Below are 26350 nucleotides of genomic sequence, written 5' to 3'. Positions count from 1 at the left end.
ATACAAAACCACTGCATTTCCGTGACAATAGGTTCAATGGATCAAATTCCTTAGTTTTCTCAATCCTTGTCCACTTACAGAAGATCCTTTTGGTTAACCCGTTTGCCAAGGAAACTAAAAAATAAATTTGAAAAGGTTCTTTTTGTAATGCCAAAATATTTGTTGAACAGATTGTGAGGCCACTTGAATCACTTTAGCTCACTCCTGGGCTCAAGTGATCCTGAATGAGAGTTATTTTAAAGCTGGAGTTACTTTGACAAAGAGCATGCCTCTCTGACCGCTCAGCTGTGTCTCGTCTTGCCTTTGCTGAATTTCACTCACTGTAGCATATTACATTTGTGAAAGATGGAAACGAGTTTTCACATGTGAAAAATGGCTATCAGAGGACGGGAAAACTTTAGTAGAAGTTGAAAGGGAGTTAACACCTGTGGCTTGAGAATATGCACAGAAAACAGGAGACTCTCAGTGGGATCTATGATTTGAGGGAAGGTCAGGTACCTGCCTAAACATTTCTATGTTCACAAATATGGACATTCATGACCATCTTTGAACATGTTCATGTTGTGTGTTAAAGTTTTATTGTTTTGAACCATGATTTCTTATTAGTTAATTACCCTCAAACTCAGAACAAAACTGATTAAGTTGCTCACTAACAGCATGTGATCACTTTCCAAATGTGTCTTTTTCACTTAGTTTGCAAAAAAAAAAAAAAAAAGTGTTAAAATTCTGCCTTCCAAGTCAGTTTTGATCTGGTAGCTCACATTCTTATTCTTCACAAAGAAAAATACCTTTTGTGCATGTGATTTATTGCCTCACTGAATCCTACCCCGGCAATACTTGAAATAATATTCTTTTCATATCACTCCAAGACTAATAGAGAAAGGTCCAAGTGGCAGGATACTTCCAGATATCAATTTCAGTCAAGTCCTTACCAATATAAGAAGGTCACACAACAATGAAAAATACCTTTTACTTTCTGCATCTCCTTATAGGTAGAATACACCAGCTTTAGTAGTCTGAGTTTGGAGCTGTTTTGTTTTAAATCAGAGCAGATGGTTAATTTTCTGTGTGTTTCAGGGCAGAAATTGTCATATGATAGGATGACGGCTTCCACCTATGTTTTTATAAGGTAATCTCAGCCTAATGAGAGTACAGCAGATGGGGATGGAAGCTTATACTGTGAGTTGATAAAGGGAAAACAAACCTGATCAGGGAGTGGAAAGGTTAGCTTTCCCAGCACTGAATCAAGGTTTTCATGAATGATAAAGATTATTCCCAAGTTGCTCATAGCACCCTCAGCGTGGGGTGGCTAGGAGACACCTGAAGAGGCAACCACTAATTATTCTGGTCTTGAGAAAGGCAGTGAAAGCCTCCATGGCCATGCCTGTGGTCAGTGGAAAGAATGCCACAATGGGGCATTCTCTGGGCCCACCCAGAGCAGGAGATTATACGTAGTGCAGGACCAGGCCTGAGAGCAGAGACATTTAGCAAGAGAAGCAAAAGGAGCAAAAATTACCAATATAGACAAAGAGCTGGACCCTCTTCATTGCCTGGTTAAATAACTTACCCACATTCTCACAGTTAATAAGTATAGGAAGAGCCTTGAATATTAGGTTGAGCCAAACGGCATTTCCAGTACTTGACCATACTGATGCTATACAAATGGCAATTTAATATGGCTCAACCTAATAATTCCGAACAGTAATTCAAAGCTTGTGCTGTTACAAAGAAGTTGGAAGAGTTTAGTATTTTCAAACTTTAGTAACTTAAGAATCAATTTTATGACTTTTGCTATTTCTGTGTACTGCTTTTACTATTATTATTTTCAAGATTGACTCTTAAAAAATTAGTCTCATCATAATGATCTAGGTCATCATAGCAAACACTTACACAACACTTATGATATACCAACACTTTACACATATTAATACATTGTGACTGAAATCACAGTTTTGATATGTTAGCTATATTTTCTACTATATGTTAATATAAAAACATACATATTACTTTTAAAATGTTTATCTCTACACCCCTTAAAGTCACCTCTTATACTAGATAGGGATATATATTGCACTTTGGGAAACTTTGGATTAGGGAATTCCTAAGGCTCCTTCCATCTTTAACATTTCTAACTGGTTGACCATTACCACACGGAGAAGCTGTGCCATGTAAAACTGTGCCATTAAGTGTGTGGGCTTCCTGGATTCATTCTGGCTCTGTCATTTGTTACCTAAGTCAACTTGGGCATGCCATTTAAAACTTTTTCTGTGGGGGGTAGTGGCATGCACCTGTAGTTCTAGCTACTTGGGAGGCTAAGGTAGGAGGAGTGCCAGCATGGTCAACATAGAGAGACCTGTCTCTTAAAAACAAAACAAAACAAAACAAAAAACCGCACACACAAAACCTCTGGCATACATTGGCTCCTTCCACCTCACTGGGTTGCGGTAAGTTAATGAGATAATAAATGTCAAGTGTAGGTGCTAGCTTATTTCATGCACTCAATAACTCTTCTTTATTATTGAATCACAGCTAAGGCAGGGTAATTAAGGCTGTGCTTTAGGGAAGTGAGACTTTAAGGATGCCAAAAATTAACAAATTTAAAAGCTAGTGGGGAAAAAGGGTTAATGCTCACTTTTTCACATGCTTTTCTGTCTTGGGAAAGCTGCCTTGTCATTTCCACTCCACCATTGTCTAGATTTCTCTGGAACCTGAGCCAGCCCTCTTGACATCAGGAGAAAATGCACAATGTCAAAGACTCAACTTTAAGGATAGTGACTTCAGTTCAGGTACCTTTTTGGGCATTATGGAACCATTTCCTCCCCACTATATGTAATATAGCACCACTGATTTGCAGATATGTTTCTTTCTGTTTTCCATTATTTCTAGTTAGGGCTAGTTCTCTTATCTCCTAAGATTGGACTTGGAAGGCTAAGTGAGTTTTAAAAAGGCAGTTTTTTTCTGTTTTTTTTTTTTTTTTTTTTTTTTTTTTTTTGTGGGAGTCATTCTACAATTCAGGAAAATTGCCCCATGGTGAATCAAGGTGTTCTAATAAAAGTTATCATCTATCTGAAGGCTTAAGTATTTAATAGTTGGCGCTAATAGCATTATCTGAAGTAGGCACTGTTATTAACCCTGTTTCACAGATGAGAAAAGTGAGATATAGGAAGTGAATCAAATAACCCAAAGCTACAGGGCTGATAAGTAGCAAAGGTGGGATCTGAAGCCAGACAGCCTGACTTAGAACATGTGCTCTTAGCCATATTTAACACAAAGTCTCAGCAAAATGTAACCTTCCTACTTATCCTTGCTCACAACCAGCTACTAATCAATTTAACCCCAGTTTCAGAGAAATAATATTGCATAATCATCAAAAGCAGACTCTGGAGCCTACCTCTACCATGTATAAAGTATCTGACCTTGGGCAAGTTACTTAAGTTCTCTGTGCCTTAATTTTCCTATATACAAAATGTGGATAATAATAGTACCTACTTCATAGGATTGTTGTGAATAATAAGCAGGTTTGTATATATAAGATGTCTAGGACTCATAGTAAGCACTATTCTCTATTAATAGAGAATTGGATAAATGAATTATGATACATCCATAATGTGGAATATAATGGAGTCATAAAAACTTGATTAACACAGAAATATGTTGAGTGAGGAATGCAGCTTACACAATTGAATAAGATGTTGAATAAAGCTGTGTTTGTGTATGTGTGTGCTGAGTACACATAAAGTTAACTTTGTTTTTTTGTTTATTTTATTAAAAATTACTTCTGTATTTTGAAAAAATTACAGTCAGTAATTTTCACTTAAAAGATCTTATTAGGAAATGTGGAGATTACACACACACGCGCGTGTGCACACACACACACACAGTTGAGGCCCTCAGATGTGTGCTGAGCCCTGAACTGGCGCCCTTCCTGGAATTTGATTATTCAAATGCCATTTTACCTAGTGGGCTGGAATTTAAGCTCTCCTCACTTAGCTTTAGTTCAGTGACACCTATGTTGAAGGTTTTAAATTATTTTAGATTGAAAATGCCACTGGTTCTCTATTTGGCTTGGGGTCTTTCATTGAGAGCTTTAGAAAACTTAATTTCTAGTCCACTCACAGATATCCTCCATGGTCAGAGGGAATTAACATTGGCAATTTGAAAAAGATACAATATGTATATTTCTAGAAAAAATTTAGAGGTGGCATTCTATGTTAGCTCTTTCTTTCAGAATATGAGTCCAAGGGCTATGAGATCCTTTGATTTGAAACATCCACAGAAGCACAGGAAGAAGGAATTATTCATCTATTCAACAAGCATTTCTTTGAACACTGTATGTACCAGGTTCTGTGTTAGGAAATGGAAATATGAAGATAATAAGACACAGTTCCTACCTTAAAAATGCTAATAGTTCAATGACGACTGGAGCAGGCAGGCAAACAAATCACTGGGTTAGAGTGTGAAAGGTACTGTATGGCTTATAAGAATGGGGATGATGGCTGGGTGCAGTGGCTCATGTCTGTAATCCCAGCACTTTGGGAGGCTGAGGCGGGTGGATCACCTGAGGTCAGGAGTTTGAGAACAGCCTGGCCAACATGGTAAAACCCTGTATCTACTAAAAATACAAAAAAATTACCGGGCATGGTGGCAGGCACCTGTAATCTCAGCTATTTGAGAGGTTAAGGCAGGAGAATTGCTTGAACGCGGGAGGTGGAGGTTGCAGTGAGCCAAGATCATGCCGTTGCACTCCAGCCTGGGTGACAGAGTGAGACTCTGTCTAAAGAAAAAATAAAAAATAAAAAAGAATAGGGATGACACAAAAAATGAGGTCAATTCCCAATAGATAATTGGATTTAGGAAAAAAGCCTCCCAGAAGAAGCAAGTTGTTTCTTCATAGATGGATAGATATTTGCCAAGCTGGCAAGGGGAAGAAGGGCCCTGCGGGTAGATGGAGCATCATGAGTGAAAGCAGAGAGGAATGAGAGACTCAGGAAATTTTGGGAAGCAAAATATTCTTTGGAATGTCTGGAGTTAGGGTGGAAGGATTATGGTAAAGAAAAAGATTAGGCGTTAGGACTCAAATTAGTAAATTACTTCTTCCAGCCAACCTAAGAAGTCTGGAATTTGTCATAGAGGTTATAGAGAATTCTTGAAGGGTTTTCATTAGGAAAGTAACATGATGCGATTTTCATTGTACAAAGATCACTCTGGTAGAGAGTGGATTGAGAAGAAAAGGCTGGAAGAAAGGCAAGTTGTCAGGAAATGTTTGCAGCCATTCATAGTGAAATGATGAATGAAGGCAGAAACAACAACAGGGATTGAGAGGACAGGGTGTTTGGAAGACATATTTTTGCTCAGTTATTCCTGTCTGAGAATTGGTCCTCTCTTCCTCAGGGCTGGGAAGTCCACAGCCATCTTTGTGCTATGTGTTCCTGACCTGTAGTTACAGCTGATTGGATCAGGGGGTACATTTGCCTGAGATGGATCAGTCAGGTTCTATTTCTCAGTCAGTTAGTCCCCGTGTGTGACTGAAACTGAGGATTATATAAACTGTGGGACAGCCATCTTCTATAAAACGTAAAAAGAAGTAGAGAACTGCATGGCCTCAGAAAAAGGAAAGAGAATGTAAATGACATAGAGAGAGAAACAGAGATGAAAGAACCTGTGAACTGAGAAGAGGTCGAGGGGAGAGAAAAAGACAGACAGGAAGACAGAGAGACAGATACAGAAACAAAGACAGAAATAGAATGGGAGCACTCCTTTAATTTCCAAATATTCTCCCAGGGCTTTGTTTCTTCTTATAAGTTAATGGGAAAGAGATGGTCAAGAGAATCAAAGGTCACTAGGCATGCATGGAGGTAAGCCACCATGAGGAAGAGTCAGCAGCAGCAACAAATGATAGATTTAGAGCTTTAAGAACTACAGATATGGGCATTTTCAAATACATAATGTAAGAAAGTTATGTATAAATATTTAAAGAAATAAAGCATACTTCACAAAAGATGAGTATGTAGACTATAATAAATGACTATTTTTAATACAAACAATGAAAACTTCTAGAAATGAAAGTATAATTGTAGAAATTTCTTAAATTAATGGACAAGTTAACAGTGGTTTAGGTGATTAGAGAACTGATTAACTGGAAGCAGAACAGGATAAAATGCCTAGAATTCAGGAAAGGGCAAGTGGAGGAAAAGAGAGGAGAGGAGAAGAGAAGAGATAAAAATATGAAAAAGAAGTTTATAATTTAGAAGATAGTATGAGAAGAGCTAATATATGTATAATTGGAGCCCTAGAAGAAAGGACTAAAGAAAATGAAGGAGGGACAAATTTAATGAGATAATGGCTGAGAACTTTTAGAATTGATGAAATACATGAGTCCACATGCTGAGGAAGCATATTGTATACCATTTAGGGTTTTTTTTTTTAAAAAGCAACTCATGATTAGATACATCAGAATAAAGCGATTCATGACTAGACACTGCATAATACCAAAGATAAAGATATATTTAAAGCATTGATAATGAAAAGAGAGATTACATAGAAATAAATGAAATAAGGCAGATTATGTATTTTTTCCAGTTTTTTATGATGATAAAATATACATAACATTTATCACCTTACCCTTTGTTTTTTTTTTTTTTTTGAGACAGAGTCTCACTCTGTTGCCCAGGCTGGGAGTGCAGTGGCATGATCTCGGCTCACTGCAACCTCCACCTCCCAGGTTCAAGTAATTCTCCTGCCTCAGCCTCCCAAGTAGCTGGGATTACAGGCAGGTGCCACCATGCCTGGCTTATTTTTTTGTATTTTTAGTACAGATGGGGTTTCACCATGTTGGCCAGGCTGGTCTGGAACTTCTGACCTCAGGTGATTTGCCCGCCTCAGTCTCCCAAAGTGCTGGGATTACAGGCATCAGCTACCGCACCAGGCCTCATCTTACCATTTTTAAGTATACAGTTCAGTGGTATTAAATACATTCATAATTTTGTGCAGTGATCACCACCATCCATCTCCATAACTCTTTTCATCTTGTAAAATAAAAACTCTATACCCATTAAACAAACAATAACTCCCTATTTTCTCTTGCCCCCAGCTCCTGGAAACCACTATTCTGCTTTGTTTCTATGATTTTGACTGCTCTTAAGTACCTCATATAAGTGGAATCATTCAGTGTTTGTCTTTTTTTGTGACTGGCTTGTTTCACTTAGTATAATGTCCTTAAAGTTCATCCATGTTGTTGCATATTGCAGAATTTCCTTCTTTTTTAAGGCTGAAATAATATTCTGTTGTATGGATATGCCACATTTTACTTATCCAGTCATTTGTCGATGGATATTGGATTGCTTCTGTGTTTTAGCTATTGTAAATAATGCTTCTATGAACACAAGTGTACAAATAAATCTTCGAGATACAACTTTCAATTCATTTGGGTGTAAACCCAAAAGTGAAATTGATGGTTCATATGGTAATTCTATTTTTTATTCTATTTTTAACTTTGAAAAACTGCATGCTGTTTTCCACAGTGGTTGTATAATTTTACATTTCCACCAACAGTGTACAAGTGTTCCAATTTCTGCACACCTTTGCTAACCTTTACTTTTGTTTAGTTTTGTTTTAGATAGTAACCATCCTAATGAGTGTAAAGTGGTATTTCATTGGAGTTTTGATGTGCATTTTTCTAATGATTAGTTATGTTTAGCACCTTTTCATTTATATTTCTTTTGGGAAAATGTCTATTGAACTCCTTTGCCCATTTTTGAATTGTGTTTTTTATTCATTTGTTTGTTTTTGAGTTTTAGGAGTTTGCCATGTATTCTGGATATTAATCTCTTATCAGATATATAATTTGCAGGTTATTTTCTCTCATGCTGTTGCCTTTTTTTTTTTTTTTTTTTTACTTACTGTTTAACTTGTTTCTATACAACCTGTTAAAAGGTGTGATGGCAAAAAAATATTCCAGCCACAATAGCAATTAAAAAACACACCGAATACCCCTAAAAATAAATGTGTGAGATGTATACAAAATATAAAAGAAGATTTGAGTAAATATATAAAAATATGTGTTCTTGAAGCTCTTTTTAAAAACTTCAATTCCTCTCTGAGTAATTGAGTAATTCATAGTTTACCCCACTTCCAGATGAAATTCTAGAAGAATTTAACACAATCAGAATTTAGAAATGGACAAAATTTTCCTGGTTATATTTCACCTGGGAAATTAACAAGTAAGATTACTATAAAATATTTGGAAAAAATAAGATGAGAAACAGACACTTTCTCAGCTGGGTATAAATGGATTGTAACCTAAGGAAGTAAAAAGACTGTATGAACAAGAATCAATGAACAAATTAATGAGAAAAAAAAAGGCCAAATACGGTGCCTCATGCCTGTAATCTCAGCACTTTGGGAGGCCAAGGCGGGAGGATTGCTTGAGACCAGGAATTTGAGACCAGTCTGGGCAACAGAGCGAGAAACTGTCTCTACAAAAAAAATTAAAAAATAAAAAAAAGGAAGGAAGGAAGGAAGGAAGGAAGCTAGCTGTGCATGGAAGTATGAGCCTGTCGTCTTAGCTACTCAGGAGGCTGAGGCAGGAGGATCACTTGAGCCCAAGAATTTTAGGCTGTAGCAAGCCATGATTGTACCACTGCACTCCAGCCTGAGGGACAGAGTGAGACCCTGTCTCTAAGGAAAGGGCGGGGGGCAGGAGGGTGGGATACGTGCTGAATAAATTGCTCTGAAACCATTTCAAATAATGCAAGAATTTCATGTGTAAGAAAAGAAACTCACAAGCCAATTAGAGGTGGATTATGCAGCAGATGGTGATAGTAGTTTTTCAAGCACAAATTTTTATGAAGACCAATCTATTTTTTTGTTGTTATTGCCTGTGTTTTTGCTGTCATAGCCAAGAAATCATTGCCAAGTCCAATGTTGTGAAATTTTTCCCTATGTTTTCTTCTAAGGGTTTTATTGTTTTAAGTTTTACATTTAGGTCTTTAATCCATTTTGAGTTAATTTTTGTATATAATTAGGTAAGGTTTCAACTTTATTCTTTGATATGTGGATATCTAGTTTTTCCACCACCATTTGTTGAAAAGGCTGTTCTTTCCCCCATTGAATGGTCTTGGCTTCCTTTTCAAAAATTATTTGACCATACATGCGAGGGTTTATTTTTGGGCTCCCAATCCTATTTATTTGATTTGTATGTCTGACTTTATGCCTTTATGGCACTGCCTTTATGCCAGTACCATACTGTTTCAATGACTGTCACTTTGTAGTAAATTTTGAAATTAGGAAGTGTGAGTCTTCTAGCTTTCTTCTTTCTTGAGATTGTTTTTGGTTATTCAGGATCCCTTGAAATTTCATATGAATTTTAGGATGGGTTTTTCTGCAAAATAAAAAATAAAAATCATTGAGATTTTGCTAGGGGTTGCACTGAATCTGAAGATCTCTTTCTGTAGTATTGACATTTTAACAATATTTTCTTCTAATGCACAAACATGAAATTTGTTTCAATTTCTTTATGTCTTAATTTCTTTCAGCAATGTTTTGTCGGTTTTATTGTTCAAGTCTTTTACTTATTTAGTTAATTCCTAAGTATTTTATTCATTTTGATGCTATTACAAACAGAATTTTAATAATTTCTTTTTCATATTGTTCATTTTTAGTGTATAGAAATAAAACTAATTTTTGTGTGTCGATTTTGTATCCTGCTACTTCGTTGAATTTATTTATTAGTTCCAACAGTTTTTTGTAGAATCTTTAGGGTTTTCTACATATAAAATTATATCATCTACAAACAGAGAGAATTTTACTTCTTTCTTTCCGATTTGGATACCTTTTATCTCTTCTACTTTCCTTATTTCTCTGGCTAGAACTTCTAGTACTATGTTGAATAGAAGCAGACAAAGCAGACATCTTTCCTTGTTCCTGATCTTGGAAGAAAAGCTTTCAGTCTTTCACCATTGAGTGGAAAGCTGCCATGAAAATTTTATAAATGCCCTTTATCATGTTGAGGAACTTCCCTTCTATTCCTAGTTTGTTGAGTGTTTTTATCATAAAAGGGTATAGAATTTTATCATATGCTTTTTCTGTATCAATTGAGATGATCACGTGGTTGTTTCTATTCACTGTGTAATGTGGTATATTTTGTTAATCCGTTTTCATATGTTGAATCATCCTTGCATTACAGGAATAAATACCACTTGGTAATGGTGTATATGGTATTTAGTCCTGTTAATATGGTGCTGAATCAGTTTTGTTAATATTTTGTCAAGGATTTTTCCATTAATAGTCATAATGTTAAAAGGGTTAACATTGACATTAAATAGTCAAAATATTAAAAGGGTTTTTTAAATCCTTGACAAAATATCAGCAAAATGAATTTTATGACATAATGTTCTTTTCTTGTAGTGTCTTTGACTGGCTTTGGTATCAGAGTAATGCTGGCCTTATAGAATGAGTTAGGAAGGGTTCCCTCCACAATTTTTGGGGGATAGTTTGAGAAGGATTGGTATTCTTCTCTAAATGTTTGGTGGAATTCATCAGCAAAGTCATCAGGTTCAGGGCTTTTCCTTGTCAGAAGATTTTTCATTACTAATTAAATCTTTTTACTAGTCATAGGTCTATTCAGATTATTTATTTCTCCTTGATTTAGTCTTGGTAGGCTTTCTGTTTCAAGGAATTTGTCCATTTCATCTAGGTTATCCAATTTGTCAATACCCAATTGTTCATAGTACTCTCTTATAATCCTTCCTATTTCTGTAGAATTAGCAGTAATATCCCCACTTTTGTTTCTGATTTTAGTAATTTGAGTGTTCTCTCTTTTTTTCTTAATACAACTAACTAAACATTTGTCAATTTTCTTAATCTCGTCACAGAACTAACTCTTGGTTTTGTTGATTTTTCTCTTTATTTCTATTCTTTATTTTGTTACCTCTGCTCTAATATTTATTATTTCCTTCTTTCTGCTACCTTTGAGTTTAGTTTGTTCTTCTTCTTCTTTTCTTTCTTTTCTTTTCTTTTTTTTTTTTTTTCAACAAGATCTCACTCTGTCACCCAGGCTGGAGTGCAGTGGTGCAATCATAGCTCACTGCAGCCTTGACCTCCCAGGCTCAAGCAATTCCCCAACCTCAGCCCCCTGAGTACTGAGACCACAGGCATGTGCCGCCATGCCTAGATAATGTTTGTATTTTCTGTAGAGATTGGATTTCACTATGTTGCTCAGGCTGGTCTTGAACTCCTGGGCTCAAGTGATCTGCTTGCCTTAGCCTCCCAAAATGCTGGGACTACAGGCATGAGCCACCACACCCAGCCTGTTCTTCTTATTCTAAACTTGTAAAGTTAGGATGTTGATTTGACATTTTTCTTGTTTTTTAATGTAAACAGGTATAGCTATAAATTTCCACCCACAGACTACTTTTGCTTTGTCCCATAAGATTTAGCATGTTGTGTTTTCATTTTTATTTGTCTATAAGTATTTTCTAATTTCCCCTGTGATTTTTACTTTGGTTGTTTAAGAGTTTGTTGTTTAATTTCCACAAATTTATACATTCTCCATTTCACTTCGGTTATTGATTTCTAACTTTATGTCATTTGGTCAGAGAAGATACTTTGTATGATATCCATCTTTTAAAAATCTATTGAGACTTAATTTGTGGCCTAACATATGATGTATCCTGCAAAATGTCCCATGTGCACTTGAGAAAAGTTTGTATACTGTAGTTGTTGGAGAGAGGATTGTGTATATACCTGTTAGTCTGGTTGGTTTATTGCATTGTTTAAGTCTTCTGTTTCCTTGCTTATTTTCTGTCTGGTTGTTCTCACCATTATTGCGAGTTGGGTATTGAAGTCTCCAACTATTGTTATAGAACTATCTCTTTTTCCCTTTCATTCTGTAAGCTTTTGCTTTATGTGTTTTGATGGTCTGTCCTTAGATGGGTAAATGTTTATAATTGAATATCTTCTTGCTGTGTTGGGTCTTTTATTAATATATAATGTCCTTCTTTGTCCACTATAGCCCTGTAAGTTTATTTCGCCTGGGAGCAGTGGCTCATGCCTGTGCTCCTAGCATTTTGGGAGGCCGAAGCAGGTGGAACACTTGAGCCCAGGAGTTCTAGACTAGCCTGGACAACATGGTGAAATGCCATCTTTACAAAAAAATACAAAAGTTAGCGGGGCATGGTGACGCTTACCTGTAGTCTCAGCTACTTGGGAGGCTGAGGTAGGAGGATTGCTTGAGCCTAGGAGGTCAAGGCTACAGTGAGCCAAGATTGTGCCACTGCACTCCAACCTGGGTGACAGGGTGAGACCCTGTTAAAAAAAAAAGTCTATTTTGTCTGATATTATTATACCCACTCCTACTGTGTTTTGGTTACTATTGGCATGGAATATTTTTTCCATGCTTCCACTTTTAATCTGTTTATATCTTTGGATCTAAAGTAAGTCTTTTGTAAACAGTAAATAGTCAGACCATGTATGTATCCATTCTGCTAATCCCTGTCTTTTGATGGTAGAGTTTAATCCATTTGCATTTAAAGTATATACTGATAAGGAGAAACTTAATTTTTTTCATTTTGCTATTTGTTTTTTATGGCTTATAGCTTATTTGCCTCTCATTTCCTGCATTTATTGACTGTCTTCTTTCATGTTTAGTTGATTTTTTGCAGTGAAATTTTAAAATTTCTTTCCATTTCCTTTTGTGTACATTCTTTAGCTATTTCCTTTATGGTTTAATGGGGATTGCACTTAACATCCTAAAGTTATAATACTCTAATTTGAATTTATACCAGTTTAACTTCAATAACATACAAAACTCTGTTTCTTTACAATTCTGTCCCCACCTCTTTCCGTTGTTAATGTCATAAAATTACATCTTTTTATATTTCATGCCCCAAAACATAAAGTAATAATTTATTTACATACATTAGTCTCTTAAATTATCTAGAAGATTGGCCAGACATGGTGGCTTATGCCTGTAATCCCAGCACTTTGGGAGCCCAAGGTGGTTGGATCACCTGAGGTCGTGAGTTTGAGACCAGCCTGGCCAACAAGGTGAAACCCTGTCTCTACTAAAAATACAAAAATTAGCTGGGCATGGTGACGGGCACCTGTAATCTCAACTACTGGGGAGGCAGAGGCATGAGAATCTCTTGAACCCAGGAGACAGAGGTTGCAGTGAGCCGAGATTGCACCACTGCACTCCAGCCTGGGCAACAGCGCAAGATGCGATCTCAAAAAAAAAAAAAAAAGTAGAAAATAAAATGTGGGGTGATAACCTACAGTTCATATTTGGCAGTTTACTTTAAAAGTAAACAGGGCTTCTTAAATTAACCTATCTTGGGGCAGTCTTGTGATTCATGGCAACATCCTGTTCATGAGTAAAGAATCTTATCTGAGTTTCTCAAATTATTGACGTATAATGATTAATTTATAACCTACTGACATCAAAAAGGCTGCTGATTTGTTTCTGAATCATAATGTTTTGGTGATTTGTTTCTGAATCATGAAGTTTCACTGATTGTCTTGTGCATAGAATTTTAACCTGTATGTTGCCCTGTATGTCATACTTTGCAGCCAATCTTTGTGTTGTACCCTCCAATGAAAAAGGACAACTTCACTATGAGGAGCCCCTCTCCCTTCTCCTAAACTTACTTATAAAAGCCTTCCAACTTGTAACAGATTCTGGAACACTCCCAACTTTCTGATGTGTCTTCCCAGGTTGATCCTCACATTTGGCTTCCAATAAACCTTTATCAAATTATTTCTGCCTCAACAGCCTTAATTTCTGTCAATAGGAGTTACAAGCCAAAGTTAACAATAATACTAGCTTTTAGACTAATAGTTTTTAACGTATGAATCTCAAACCATGCAAAAAACAAAAAATGGAGTTACAAACCATTGTTACAATAATACTAGCTTCTATAATTGTCCATGTATTTACCTTCATTGAGATTTTTATTTCTTCATATAGCTTTGAGTTACTGTCTAGTGTTCTTACATTTCACCTTGCAAGACGTAAGCATTTCTTGCACGGCAGGTTTAGTAGTGAACTCACTCAGCTTTTGTTTATCTGGGAATATTTTAATTGCTTCCTCGCTTTTGAAGGAGAGTTTTGCAAGATAAAAGATTCTTGATTGACAGGTTTCTTTTTCTTTTCGCACTTTGAATTTATTAACCCACTGGCTTCTGTTTTCCAAAGTTTCTGATGAGAAATCTGATGATATTCTAATTGAGGATCTCTTGTAAGTGACAAATTGCTTCTCTCTTGCCACTTTCAAGATTCTGTTTTTGTCTTTGGTTTTCAAAAGTTTGATTATAATGTGTTTTTGGGTGAGTCTCTTTAAATTCTTCTTATTTGGAGTTTGTTGAGTTCTTGTATGTTTATGTTCAAGTCTGTCATCACATTTGTGAAGCTTTCAGCCATTATTTCTTAAAATATTCTCTCTACCCGCCTCTCTCTCTAATCTTCAGAGACTCCCAAAATGTATATGATGGTGTCCTACAGCTTATCTAGGTTTTATTTATTTTTCTTCGGCCTTTTTTCTATTCCTCAGACTCAGTGATTTCCATTGTTCTATCTTCACCTTTCACTATTTTTATCTTCTGGATGCTCAAGTATGTCTTTTAGTCCTTGTAGTGAATTTTTTATCTTGGTTTTATTTTTCCACTCCTTGCTTTCTTTTTGGTTTATTTTTAGGTTTTTCTGTATCATCATTGATTTTTCCATTTTGTTCATGTATCATATATTTTTTCTGGTCTTTCTTCACATCTTTCTTTAGAATATTGAGCATCTTTAAGACATCTGTTTAAAAGTCTTCATCTAGTATATCTGACATCATATCTTTTTCAGGGATGGTTTCTGTTGATTTATTTTTTTCTTTGAATAGACCATACTTTCCTGGTTTTTGTTTTTTTTTTTTGTATGTCTTGTGATTTTTTTTTGGTTGACATTGAAAACTGGACATTTGAATCTAAAAATGTGGTAAATCTGGAAATCAAGTTCTTCTCCTTTTCCAGAGTTTGCTAGATTTAGTCATTGTTTTTGTTTACTCTTTTTTATTGTTGTATGTCTGATATATATAAACTTAAGGTCCTTTCAGGTCTTTTCTGAGCCTGAGCCTTTCCCTGGGTATGCATGGTCACTTTCTAATTTCCCCCTCTATGAAGTTGTTTCTGAAAGTCCTAGTCTTTAACGTCTGGTTCCCAAAAGGGAATCAAAAATATTAAGGGGGAAAAATGGCCCTGGTCCTTTGAATCCCCTGGAAGTCATCTCAGATGGATGGGAGGGGCTTGCAAAAAGGGTAGAGGTGAAACAATAGCTGTTCACTTCTTTGTCTGTACCACTGTGATCAGAAGCAGTGATTGGCAATCCAAATACAGATCCCCAATATTTGGAGGACAGGATCCTTTTTGTTCATTCTGGCTGCTTCAAGCTGCTACAGGAACTCCCAAAAATGACCCCAGAAGCAAGACCTAAGATTTAAAAGAAAACAGAGCTATTGGAGACTGTGAAGGGAGATACTTTGAGGGACAAAGCTGACCAAAGGAGGATGGTAGAATAAAAACATGGAAGGAATATGGATGACATTATTAAACCAATGAATTATGTATACATGGAGAAACCCTATATTGGAACTTCTTGTGTAAAACAACTTTTCCCATTCTGAGAGAGAGAGAGAGAGCATGTGTGCATGATTCAAGAAAGAATAAAGTGTATCAAATTCTGTGGGGTGGTCAAGTAGGATAAGAATGGAAAAGAGTCCTTTAGTTTTGACTATAGGAAGTTCATTGATGATCATAGTAAGAGCAGGTCAGTCTTTCATGAGACTCGGCTGCACTCTCTTACCCTTGGAATTTAGGAAGAGACACACCTCAGGAGTTGTTACTAAAAGGATATCTGTGTAAGTTGGTCTGAGTAAATTTCCTTTGCTCACAACCAAATGAATTTTGAATATGAAGTGTTATTTTTTGGAAATGTTAAAACAGGTTGAATTGAGAAGACTTAGTGAATGATTGCCACGGATGATAGAGAAAGATAGAGATTGTGACTGGCTTCTTTCACTTAGCATTGTTTCAAGGTTTGTTCATGTTGTAGCATATATCAGTACTCTATTCCTTTTAATAGCTGAATAACATTCCATTGTATGGATAGGCTACATTTCATTTATCCATTTATCAGTTGGTGGACATTTGAGTTGTGGTTAATTTTATGCATCACCTTGACCAGGCTAAGTGTTGCCCAGATAGCTGGCAAAACATTATTTTTGTGTGTGCCTGTCAGAATATTCCCAGAAGAGATTAGCAGTTGAATCGGTTGAGTAAACAAGATCACCCTCTTCAATGTAGGCAGACATCATCCACTCATTGAGGGCCCACATAGAACAAAAAGGCAGATGAAGGGCAAATTTGTTTTGTTTCTGTTTGAAATGGGACACCTTTCTCCTCCTGCCAACATTAGCAATCCTGGTTCTTGGACTGTTAGACAGACTGAATTACACCATCAGCTTCCCTGGTTCTCCAGCTTGCAGATATAAAATCGTGGGATGTATTGATCTCCATAAATCCAATTTCTATAATAAATTATTCTTATTATTGTTTAATTATATTTTATTTTATATATATATATCTCCTATTGTTTCTGTCTCTCTGGAAAACCCTAACTTCTATAGATTTTGGCATCAAGAGTGGTTCTAGAGGAATAGAATTTTACAGATGAATTTTCTGAATTGGCTCTATGATTTCTGGAATTGGGTCCCTAATTTGATTAGATTTAAAGACATTAGTGACTCTATTTCCAGTAGTAAAGAAAGTTCATGACATAACCTGCTTATAGAGATACACAAAATATCTACATTGGATATACCTAATCAACAACTTATAGAATGTAATGGGCTAAGTAACTTTATATGTTATATACTTTTAGACTTTTTTTTTTTTAAATTAGGGAACATAATGACATTTGTTTATTGCTCCTAATGTTGCTGGATAAAGTAGTGAAAGAAAAGGATGAGCTCAGATATTTGAATTCCTAGTTTAAGCACTGAACAAATGACCTAAGAATCTATAGATATACCCTCAAAGACAGCCTCATCTCCTATAGCCACAGGGCTGAAATTGCTGAAAAATCAAATGCAGAACCTTATCCTATGATTGGCTGAATTACAATGCAAGTTGAACTCCCATCCTCACAGGGTATCTACTATTAAAGTAAGGGCATTGATTGGGAAAGAATAGCATCCTATAAGTTGGGATGGGGACATACTGGAAGATCTTGATGAAGCTGGGTGCGAGGCTCCTGTATTGGTTCGAACCCCAAGAGCGTGCCAGCAGACAACACGAGGTGGCATGGAGCAACACGCTGTTTTAATGAGCTCCTGGGTGCAGGCGGGCAGAGGCCTAAAATGGCGTCAGCACCAAATGAGGATGGGGCAGGGGTTTTATAGTCTCCTGTAAACAGGAAGTGCCCCAGTCCAATGTGACTGCTACATAGTACCCAGACCACCTCTCTCTCAGTCTTCAGGGAGTACGTGTCTTCCGGCCAGCTCTCTTCCTGCTTCTGCTATCCCGCTCACGCACACTGCTGGTGCAAGTGGCCTTGCGCCTTGGCACTGAGCCTGAGGAGGAAGGAGTTATTCATTTCCTTAAGCTTTCAGGTCCCAGGGAGAATTTTTCACTGGGAACTTAGACTCCTAAATTGTGATGAGTCTTTTTTGCCAATGAAAGAGGCCTCCTCACCCCCAGAAGACGTGGCCTCTCCAACTCCAGTAGTATCTGCCTTTCCACCAATTTTTCCACCTCCATCTAAGGGCATTAACCCAGCATTTCCTGAGAAAATAGTAATGGCCTGTCCTGAGGCAGTTGCCATGCAAGACAACACTGTTTCTCCTCAGAATCCACCCCATCATCCCTCTTTGCTTCTAGAACTGTAATTAGACTCAAGTCTCAGCAGGCCCCTAAGGGTGAAGTAGAAAGTGTGACCCATGAGGAGTTGTACTACACTCCAAAAAAAAAAAAAAGGTATTAATACTTGAGTTTTCTAATTTATACAAGCAGAAATCTTGGCAACATATGCAGGAGTGGATATTAACAGTGTGGGGTAATGGTGAAAGGAACGTAAACTTGGATCATGCAGAATTTATTGATATGAACTCATTAAGTAGAGATTTTTCATGTAATGTTGCAGTTTGGGGAGTCAGAAAGGGCTCTAATTGTTTGGTTACGTGGTTGGCTAAACCATGGGCAAATTGGAAATGCCTGACCCCCACTTGTTTTAATGTAGAGGAAGGATTCAATGGCTTAGGGTGTCTTAGTCTGTTTTCTGTTGCTATAACAGAATGCCACAGACTAGGTAATTTATAAAGAAACTAAGTTTATTTAGCTCAAAGTTCTGGAGGCAGGAAGTTCAACAGCATGGCTCTAGCATCTGTTGGGGGTTTTCTTGCTGTATCATAACATGGTGGAGGGCATCACATGGCAAAAGGGCAAGAACGTGCCAGGTCAGGTCTTTCTTTCTCTTGTATAAAGCCACCAGTCTTGTCATGGAAGTTCCACTCTAAAGATCTTAACTAATCCTAATTAATGACCTTAACTAATCCTACAGGCCCCACCTCCAAAAGTCATCAATATATGAATTTGGGGATTGAGTTTCCAACACATGAAATTTGAGGGATGCATTCAAACCACAGCATGGGAATATTGAAATGTTAGAGTAGATTTGTATTTAAGACCTACTCACTCACACTGGGAGGATACAGAAGACCTATCTTTCACCATGAATGTGAGAAATACATTTGCGAGGGTAGCCCCAGCATCTGTGAAGGGCTTTGTGATAGCTCTCCTTTGTAGGCCAGACTTCAGAGTGGTAACCGTAGCCATTCAATAAGAAAACCTAAATGAATTAGGAGTGATTGGATTCCAGGATGACAGGGGCCAAATTGTGGCACTCAGCTGCCAAAAGCAAGGCGGGTGTAATTACCACAATGGACAGCAGAGTCAAAGCAACAATCGTAATAGTCTGACTCATGCAGGCCTATAACATTGGTTACTTGATCATGGTGTTCCTAGAAGTGAAATAGGATGCCTACTAAATTCTCACTTTATCTATACAAGCAAAAAACTATGTCAAGTGAACAAACATCTAACCCCAATCATAAAAACATGGCCCTTTGATCGATTTCCAGACTTAAGTCAGTTTATAGGCTCAGAACCCCTCGAATGAAGTAGAGGCTGGATTCCCTTTAGGAAGAACCCAAGTAAATTACCAAAAATGTATACTGCTAATCTTTATCCCAGCTTTCCCCAAAGGTACCTACTGCCTTTCACCAGGGTAACTGTGCGTTGGGGAAAAGAAAATAATCAGAGCTTTTGAGAACTACTTAGACACTGGCTCTGAACTGACTGATTCCAGGTGATCCAAAACATCATTGTGGCCTTCCATTCAGTCCAGAAGGTTGTAATGTTATGCACAGATGTGTAAATATGCATATCTTTTCATTCACAGTTTCTGGCTCATAACTCCCATAGTCCTTGTTACAGTCTTCTGTTATAATGTTAGGGTGTTTTAGGCCTCAGAAGCAAAAGTTTCTCTCTGACCTTCTCTGGCCCTATTTCTGACTCTCATTCTCCCTCAAGGCCATCCCTAGAAACTAGAGTCTTTCTTCCCCAGATTGAATCATAGAAACCAGAACTCTGTTTCCTGAAAGCCAGCCATAAGCCCCCACCTTTCTGTCCATAAAGAAATTATCTGAACTACCTTGTTTGATAGTAAGTCATAAGGCCTGCATTCTAGAGAGGGTCCTGTCCCATACCCTGGAGGAAGAAATGCTACACATAGAGGCCAAGAATCTAAATATAGAGGTCTTTCTGGGTTTTCCCACTCAGACTGTTACTATTAGATCATATCCTTTTTGTCCAATCACATTTCTACATGGTTTTTCATGCTTCAATCATGTCTATCCAATGAAGTCTCCATAAAAGGACAAAGAAGACTGAGTTTGGGGAGCTTCCAGATAGCTGAACACCTGGAGGTTCCTGGAGGGTGGCACACCAAACGAGTGCATGGAAGCTGTATGCCCCTTCCCCAACACCTTGCCTCTGAGCAGCTTACTGAACTCAAGTGTTTCCTTGAGGAAATTTCTAGGGGTCCTGTGGTTTCAGTGCTTCAGAACTCAAGTATTTCCTTGAGTTCTGTGAGCTCCTCTAGCAAAATAATCAAACCCCAAAAAGAGGTTGTGGGAACTCCAACTTGAAGCCAGTTGATCAGAAGTTCCAGAGGCCTGGGCTTATAACTGGTGTCTGAAGGAAGAACAGTCTTAGAGACTGAGCCCTCAACTTGTGGTTTCTGAGGTTATCTCTAGGTAGAAAGCATCAAAATTAATTGAATTGGAGGACACCTAGTTGGTACAGAATTGCTTGCTTGCTTTTTGGTGGGGAGAAATCCCCACACATTTAGTCACGGATCTTCTGTGGTGATTGTTGCTGCGATGTGAGAGCAGAGGAAAAAACAGTTTGTGGGTTTTTTATTTTTTATTTCCTAACAGAGGTCTTTGGAGGTAAGGTGATTAATGGAATTTTAGCTCAGGTTCATTTCACAGTGGGTTCAGTGGGTCCCTGAGACCATCCAGGTTATTTCCCCAGTTCTAGATGCATAATTGGAATAGACATATTTAGCAGCTGGAAGAATCCTCATATTGGTTCCATGACCTACAGAGTGAGAGCTATTTTGGTGGAAAGGCCAATTGGAGGCCATGAGAGCTCTACTTAGGAAAATAGTAAACCAAAAGCAATATTTCATCCTGGATAAATTGCAGAGATTAGTGTGAAGCCTTGAAGCATGGACAGATAGTAATTCCAACCACATCCCCATTCACCTCTCCTATTTGGCCTGTGCAGAAGACAGAGAGATCTTGAAGAATGTCAATGGATATCGTAATCTCAGCCAGGTGATGACTCCAATTGCAGCTGCTGTACCAGATGTGGTTTCATTGCTTCAGCAAATTAACGCATCTCCTGCTTCTTCATATATAGTTATTGATCTTGCAGACAGCTTTTTCTTCATACCTGTCCATAAGGCCTACTAGAGCAATTTGCCCTCAGCTGGCAAGGCCAGCGATGTGCCTTCAGTGTGCTATCTCAGGGGAATATCAACTCTCCAGCTCTATGTCATAATTTAGTTCTCAGGGAACTTGATCACCTTTCCCTTCTACGAGGGTTAATACTGGTGCATTCCATTGATGACATTATGCTGATTGGCCCCAGTTAGCAAATATAGCAACTACTCTAGACTAGTAAGACATGTGTATGCCAAAGAGTGGGAAATAAATCCAACTAGAACTCAGGGGCCTTCTTTAGTGAAATTTCTAGGGGTCCTGTGGTATGGGACATGTTTAGATAGCCCTTTTAAGGTGAAGAAAATGTTGTTGCATATGGTCCTTCGTACAGCCAAGAAAAAGGCACAATGCCTCGTGGATCTATCTGGATCTTGGAGGCAATATATTCCTCTTTTGGGTGTGTTACCCAGCCTCTTTTTCAAGTGACCAAAAAGCTACTAGTTTGATTAGGGCCCAGAACAAGAGAAGGCTCCACAACAGGTCCAGGCTGCTGTACAGGCTGCTCTGCCACTTGGGACATATGATCCAGCAGATCTAATGGTGCTTGAAGTGTTGGTGGCAGATAGGGATGCTGTTTGGAGTCTTTGCCAGGCACCTATAAGTGAATGACAGCACAAGCCTTTAGGATTTTTGAGACAGGGCCCTGCCATCACCACAGATAATGAGAGAGGCAGCTCTTTGCCTGCTGCTGGGCCTTAGTAAAAATCAACACTTGACCACAGACTACCAAGTTACCATGTGACTATAGTGGTTCATCATAACTGGGTATTATCTGATTCACCGAGACATAAAGTTGGGCATGGCATGCACAGCAACACTTCATTATCAAGTGGAAGTGGTATATACATGACTGGACCTGAGTAGGCCCTGAAAGCACAAGTAAATTACATGAAGAAGTGGGCATGGGGGTATAGATAGAACAATACTGACCATGAACTGAAAACTATTGAAGATGGGTAATAGGTTCATTATATTTTTCTGTCTGCTTTTGTATATGTTTGACACTTTTCATAAGAGGTTAAGAAAGATAAAATTATCTTTGCTATTCTTTTTTTCTTATAAAAGTATTTTAAAAATAAATCAATATATTTCAGTGTTGTAACATAATAGCCCAATGCTATATCTACGTAGCAAAAGTGAAGATTTCTGGTATTTTTATATCAACACTATGAATGACAGTACCCTTGCATTCAGCTTTGCAAGAAATTATCCTCAGGTCCACAACGATTCTTCGACAGCTGTAACACCTTTCAAATAGTAAAGATATGCGTGTATTGAAAGACTAGACAATGAAAGCCTAATAACTGAGCTGTGCATGTTTGCTATTCTTGACCCTTTGTATCCTTATATACATTTTAGAATTAGTTATTACATTCTCATTGTCCACCCCCACAAAAAATATTATTGATTTTTAAAATCAGGATTGTATTTATTGTACGGGTCAATTTTGGGAAAAAGTAATGACCTTAGAATATTTAAATCCACTTGCCCTTCTACCATTTATGACAATTGCTGACACATATAAATTTTTTATATATTAAATTCTCTGTTTACATTTACACAGTGTGTATGCCCTAAAACTTTACTGGGGCTGTTTTATACAGTCGAAATTCATTTAGATTAATTTATTTACCTTCTAAGTTGTTTTTTATTCTTTTTCATGTGTCTGCATCCATCTGTATTCATTTTTTTCTGTCTGAAGAATTCTATTATTTTCTTTGGCAGTGACAAATTCTCACAGTTTTTATTTGTCTGAAAATGTTTATTTGGCCTTCCTTTTGGAAGGCTGTGTTCTCTGAACATAGAATTTTTAGAGCTTGGCTATGTGACTTGCTTTGGCCAATGGGATGTTAGCAGATTTGAAACTGGGCTTGCCCTTTTGCATTTCTGCCATTGCCGTGAGGGAAAAAGAAATGTCCTGTATAGCCTACTGCAGAGGTTCCCAAATCCCAGTACCCAGTCCATGGCCTGTTAGGATAAGGCCGCACAGCAGTAGGTGAGCAGTGGGTTAGTGAGCGTTACCGCCTGAGCTCTGCCTCCCATCAGAGCAGTGGCAGCATTAGATTCTCATAAGAGTGTGAACCCTATTGTGAACTGCGCATGCGAGGGATCTAGGTTGCATGCTTCTTATGAGAAGCTAATGCCTGATGATTCTTATGAGGTGGAACAGTTTTATCCCCAAATCATCTCCCACTCCCCAACCGGTCTGTGGAAAAATTGTCTTCCATGAAACTGGTCCCTGATGCCAAAAAGGAGACCGCTGGCCTATTGGAGACCGCTGGCCTATTGGACCAACCTGCAGCTTGGAATCAAGCCCAGCAAGGCCCAGCTAAGTATAAAGCATAGAAGATGGTTCATGTCTGTTGAATGAATAAATGAATGAGTGAAAAAATTAATTAGAGAGATTAGAAAAGTCAAAAGAAGATTCTGGACCTGTATCTGTTTTCCTTCTCTCTGTCCATGAGTGAGCATTTGGGAATAGTGGGAAAACAATATGATGAATTATAAACTTTATTTTTTTCTATGGATTAGTATGGCTTTAACATGACCAAATTCTTGAGCTGAATATGAAAAGACTTGTCTTCTTTACCTGCCAAAGGGATTAAAGTTCATATTTGTTCCTGAATCACATATTGATTTAATAATTGCCAAGTATAGCCACAAGTTGTGAAAGCAGAAAATGCCTTGCCTTCCATAGAGCACACAATTTGTACATAATTTAGGCAGGGTGGAGAAGTGAGTGGAGGAAGCTATGGAATGAAGGATTTCCCCTGCCCTAGATATGACCATAATACAAAAGGTTTAAATTCACTTGTTAAAAGGATTAAAGTTTCATATTTGTTCCTGAAACATATACCAATGGATTAACTGCCAAGGACAGTAGACAACTTAGAAAGGAGGAAACACTCCATTCACAGTCCAGCAAAGAGCCCCAGCTTGAAATCCCTGTTCCCTGAAGTCATGGCAGCTATGCCTGGCTTGCACAAGACAGGCCTAAAGTGTCACTGTCCCTTCTCCCCTTCCCACACCCTCTTCCAAGTCTCCCAGGCAGCACTGAAATAATAATTGAGATACTTGCACTTGGCAGGATAACTGACCAATTGGAAGAATTTCTTCCAGGTCTTATGAACATTCTTAATGGAGGAAAGAGAACTATGACAGCAATGGAGTAGTCAAATTGAAAGGGCCATGGGGCAACAGTAGGCAAAGTGGACTTTTTAAGGCATCAGAGTCAAGTAAGCCCTCGGTTTACCTCATCATGCTTCTAAGAAGCTGAGTTGAGGGTTTGCCAAGTCCTAGCTGTGGCCACAGCCCAGTGTGTGAGAGAAGGGAATCCTTTGACCTGGCACTTCCATTCGGTACTTTGATTGGTTTGCCTCTTATTGTTTTAAGTGGAAAATAAATGTGGAGAAAATTTTAGGGTCATTTCAAACTGCTACCATCATCACACGTATTCCTTTACTCATTCATTTATTTTTTATTTCATTTTTCTTACAAAGTACAGGGCATTGTGCTAACACAGGGGAGTTATAAATGACTAATATATAGCACCAAGAAACCAAAATCCAGTTCACATTCAAAATAAGCAGACTGGGTTGTCAGACTTAAGGAAAAGCAGGTTCTCTGTGACTTACAAATGGCAGATAATTGGGCAAGTTACTAACCTCTCTGTCCTTCAGTTAACCCATCTAGAAAATGGGCATAACAATAATCACCTACCACGTAAAGGTGTTCTAGAAATCAAATGAGTTTAAATTAATGCTTGCAGAGCATTTAAATGATGCCTGACAGGTCTTATCCACCCAAAAGATGTTAGTTATTACCCACTCTCTGAATCATCCAAGCCAGTTTCTTAAAGCCCAGTGCCTCAATGGGTTTCACTGTTTGGTTTATTATGTGTCAATTTGTATTACTAATAAGATCAATGGGCATTAACATTTCAGTTGCTTTTGTTGAAAACATTTTGGGGGTACTTGAGCCTCCTTTGTGACTCATTCTCATTATGTTTTTCTTATATACTATTATTTATGTAATAGTTCTCTTTAAACTCATCTTTTTCTTACTTAAAGAGATTAGCCCATTTTCTTTTTTTTTAATTTTTTTATTATACTTTAACTTTTAGGGTACATGTGCACATTGTGCAGGTTAGTTACATATGTAAACATGTGCCATGCTGGTGCACTGCACCCACTAACTCGTCATCTAGCATTAGGTATATCTCCCAATGCTATCCCTCTCCCCTCCCCCCACCCCACAACAGTCCCCAGAGTGTGATATTCCCCTTCCTGTGTCCATGTGATCTCATCGTTCAATTCCCACCTATGAGTGAGAATATGCGGTGTTTGGTTTTTTGTTCTTGTGATAGTTTACTGAGAATGATGTTTTCCAGTTTCATCCATGTCCCTACAAAGGACATGAACTCATCATTTTTTATGGCTGCATAGTATTCCATGGTGTATATGTGCCACATTTTCTTAATCCAGTCTATCATTGTTGGACATTTGGGTTGGTTCCAAGTCTTTGCTATTGTGAATAATGCCGCAATAAACATATGTGTGCATGTGTCTTTATAGCAGCATGATTTATAGTCCTTTGGGTATATACCCAGTAATGGGATGGCTGGGTCAAATGGTATTTCTAGTTCTAGATCCCTGAGGAATCGCCACACTGACTTCCACAATGGTTGAACTAGTTTACAGTCCCACCAACAGTGTAAAAGTGTTCCTATTTCTCCACATCCTTTCCAGCACCTGTTGTTTCCTGACTTTTTAATGATTGCCATTCTAACTGGTGTGAGATGGTATCTCATTGTGGTTTTGATTTGCATTTCTCTGATGGCCAGTGTGGTGAGCATTTTTTCATGTGTTTTTTGGCTACATAATTAGTCTTCTTTTGAGAAGTGTCTGTTCATGTCCTTCGCCCACTTTTTGATGGGGTTGTTTGTTTTTTTCTTGTAAATTTGTTGGAGTCCATTGTAAATTCTGGATATTAGCCCTTTGTCAGATGAGTAGGTTGTGAAAATTGTCTCCCATTTTGTAGGTTGCCTGTTCACTCTGATGGTAGTTTCTTTTGCTGTGCAGAAGCTCTTTAGTTGAATTAGATCCCATTTGTCAATTTTGGCTTTTGTTGCCATTGTTTTTGGTGTTTTAGACATGAAGTCTTTGCCCATGCCTATGTCCTGAATGGTAATGCCTAGGTTTTCTTCTAGGGTTTTTATGGTTTTAGGTCGAACATTTAAGTCTTTAATC

The 26350-nt window shown here is 37.8% G+C and overlaps 2 annotated features.

Annotated features, from left to right (window-relative positions):
• Positions 1–502: an enhancer, noted in NCBI's record as "H3K27ac-H3K4me1 hESC enhancer chr9:6166539-6167040 (GRCh37/hg19 assembly coordinates)". NCBI's record gives its function as "activates a minimal SCP1, AML or CMV promoter by ChIP-STARR-seq in primed H9 embryonic stem cells {active_cell/tissue: H9 hESC(primed)}" and the evidence as "EXISTENCE:reporter gene assay evidence [ECO:0000049][PMID:30033119]".
• Positions 13156–14355: an enhancer, noted in NCBI's record as "P300/CBP strongly-dependent group 1 enhancer chr9:6152686-6153885 (GRCh37/hg19 assembly coordinates)". NCBI's record gives its function as "activates an origin of replication core promoter dependent on BRD2, BRD4, P300/CBP, MED14 and CDK7 cofactors, with strong dependence on P300/CBP, by STARR-seq in HCT116 cells {active_cell/tissue: HCT116}" and the evidence as "EXISTENCE:reporter gene assay evidence [ECO:0000049][PMID:35650434]".

Source organism: Homo sapiens, chromosome 9, assembly GCF_000001405.40.
Source record: "Homo sapiens chromosome 9, GRCh38.p14 Primary Assembly".
In the NCBI taxonomy this organism is placed as follows: domain Eukaryota; kingdom Metazoa; phylum Chordata; class Mammalia; order Primates; family Hominidae; genus Homo; species Homo sapiens.
The sequence above is the reverse complement of the archived record's forward strand: the minus strand, read 5'-3'. Positions and strand labels throughout refer to the sequence as shown.